The sequence below is a fragment of the Homo sapiens genome, chromosome 18 (assembly GCF_000001405.40).
Source record: "Homo sapiens chromosome 18, GRCh38.p14 Primary Assembly".
Lineage (NCBI taxonomy): Eukaryota > Metazoa > Chordata > Mammalia > Primates > Hominidae > Homo > Homo sapiens.
The window spans coordinates 12756312-12759200 of NC_000018.10; positions in this window are offsets into that span (position 1 = coordinate 12756312).

Genomic DNA, 2889 nt, shown 5'->3' on the forward strand with positions numbered 1-2889 from the left:
GGCCGAGGCGGGCGGATCACGTGGTCAGGGGATCGAGACCATCCTGGCTAACACGGTGAAACCCCGTCTCTACTAAAAAATAGAAAAAATTAGCCAGGCATGGTAGCAGGCGCCTTTAGTCCCAGCTACTCAGGAGGCTGAGGCAGGAGAATGGCGTGAACCCGGGAGGCGGAGCTTGCAGTGAGCCGAGATCGCGCCACTGCACTCCAGCCTGGGCGACAGAGCGAGACTCTGTCTAAAAAAAAAAAAAATCCTCCTCTGCTGAGGTCACCCATTGGTGAGCACTCACATGGGATACAAATATCGTCACAGTTTTTGACCACTCAGAGAGTTCTATCCGCGTACCTCTTCCCCAGACTTCTTTGTCACCAATTTTCCTATCATGCTCCTTCCAAGTCCCTGACCATCTGGCCAAACCATTGGCTACGGCCCATGAATCAGTATCTAATCGCACATCTGGCCATTTCTCCTTCCATGCAACGTGCACAGCCAGGTGCACGGCTCGAAGTTCTGCCCACTGGGAAGATTTCCCTTCACTGCTGTCCTTCAAGGATTTCCTAGAAAGAGGCTGTAGTGCTGAAGCTGTCCCATTTTCACATGGTGGCTGCATATCGTGCAGAACTATCTGTGAACCAGGACCTAGTCTTCTCTGCCTCTGTCACCTGATCATAGGGAACTCCCCATGAGGCCATCGGTGCAGGCTGTAGGAGAGAAGACAGGGTGGCAGGGGTGGAGATGATAGGCATTTGAGCCACTTCCTCATGTAACTTACTTGTGCCTTCCGGACCTGCTCGAGCCCGATCATGTATATACCACTTCCATTTGATGATGGAATGCTGCTGTGCATGACACGCTTTATGGCTAGATGGGTCAGAAAGCACCCAGTTCATGATAGGCAGTTCAGGTCGCATGGTGACTTGATGACCCATAGTCAAACATTAAGTTTCCACCAAAGCCTAGTAACAGGCCAAGAGCTGTCTCTCAAAAGGAGAGTAGTTACCTGCAGAAGATGGCAGGGCCTTGCTCCAAAATCCTAGAGGCCTTTGCTGTGATTCACCTATGGGGGCCTGCCAAAGGCTCCAAACAGCATCCCTATCTGCCAGTGACACCTCAAGCACCACTGGACCTGCTGGGTCATATGGCTCAAGTATCAGAGCAGCTTGCACAGCAGCCTGGACCTCTTGCAGAGCCTTCTCCTGTTCTGGACCCCACTCAGAATGGCAGCCTTTTGGGTCACTAGATAAATGGACTGAAGTAACACACCCAAATGAGGAATGCATGGACTCCAAAATCCAAATAGACCCGCTAGGCATTATGCCTCTTTCTTGGCTGTAGGAGGGGCCAAATGCAGCAACTTATCCTTCACCTTAGAAGGAATTATCTTGGCCGGGCGCGGTACCTCACGCCTGTAATCCCAGCACTTTGGGAAGCCGGGGCGGGCGGATCACAAGGTCAGGAGATCAAGACCATCCTGGCTAACACAGTGAAACCCCATCTCTACTAAAAATACAAAAAATTAGCCGGGCGTGGTGGCGGGCACCTGTAGTCCCAGCTACTCTGGAGACTGAGGCGGAAGAATGGTGTGAACCTGGGAGGCGGAGCTTGCAGTGAGCCGAGATCACGCCACTATACTCCAGCCTGGGAGACAAAGCGAGACTCCGTCTCAAAAAAAAAAAAAAAAAAAAAAAAAAAAAGAAGGACTATCTTGACAAGCCCCACACCACTAGACCCCTAGAAATTTTACTGAGACAGAAGGTCTCTGAATTTTAGTCAGATTTATTCCCCATCCTCTGGCATGCAAATGTCTCACCAATAAGCCCAGTGTGTTTGCTACTTCTTGCTCACTGGATCCAATCAGCATAATGTCATCAATGTAATGGACCAGTGTGATATCCTGCAGAAGCGAAAAGCGATCAAGTTCTCTCCAAATAAGATTATGACACAAAGCCACAGAGTTGATATACCCCTGAGGTAGGACAGTAAAGGTATATTGATGGCCTTGCCAGCTGAAAGAAAATTGCTTCTGGTGGGCCTTATGGACAGGAATGGAGACAAAGGCATTTGCCAAGTGAAGGGCTGTATACCAGGTACCAGGAGGTGTGTTAATTTGCTCAATCAGTTAAACCACATCTGGTACAGCAGCTGCAAGTGGAGTCACCACTTGGTTAAGCTTAAGATAATCCACTGTCATTCTCCAAGATCCATCTGTCTTCTGCATAGGTCAAATGGGAGAGTTGAATGGGGATGTGGGAATCACCACCCGTGTCCTTCAAGTCCTTGATGGTGGCACCAATCTCCGCAATCCCTCCAGGGATGTGATATTGTTTTTGATTTACTATTTTTCTAGGTAGAGGCAGCTCTAATGGCTTCCATTTGGCCTTTCCCACCATAGTAGCCCTCACCCTACCAGTCAGGGAGCCAATGTGGGATTCTGCCAGCTGCTGAGTATGTCTATTCCAATTATGCATTCTGGCACTGGGAAAAACCACAGGATGAGTCCAGGGACCCACTGCATCCACTGTAAGTTGGACCTGAGCTAAAACTCCATTAATTATCTGACCTCCATAAGCCCCTATTTTAACTGGAGGACCACAATGACGTTTTGGGTCCCCTGGAATCAATGTCAGCTCAGAGCCAGTGTCCAATAGTCCCTGAAATGTCTGATCATTTCCCTTTCCCCAATGCACAGTTACCCTGGTGAAGGCTGGAGGTCTCCTTGGGGAAGGATGGGAGAAAGATTCACTGTATAAACTGTAGGTAATATAGTGGGGTCCTTCCTCAAGGGGACCTGGCCTCCCCTTCATTCAAGGGGTTTTAGGTCTTTAAACTGGCTCAAGTCTGGAAATTGAGAGGCCGTGATTCTCTGTTTTTATAATTCAAATTAGTCCT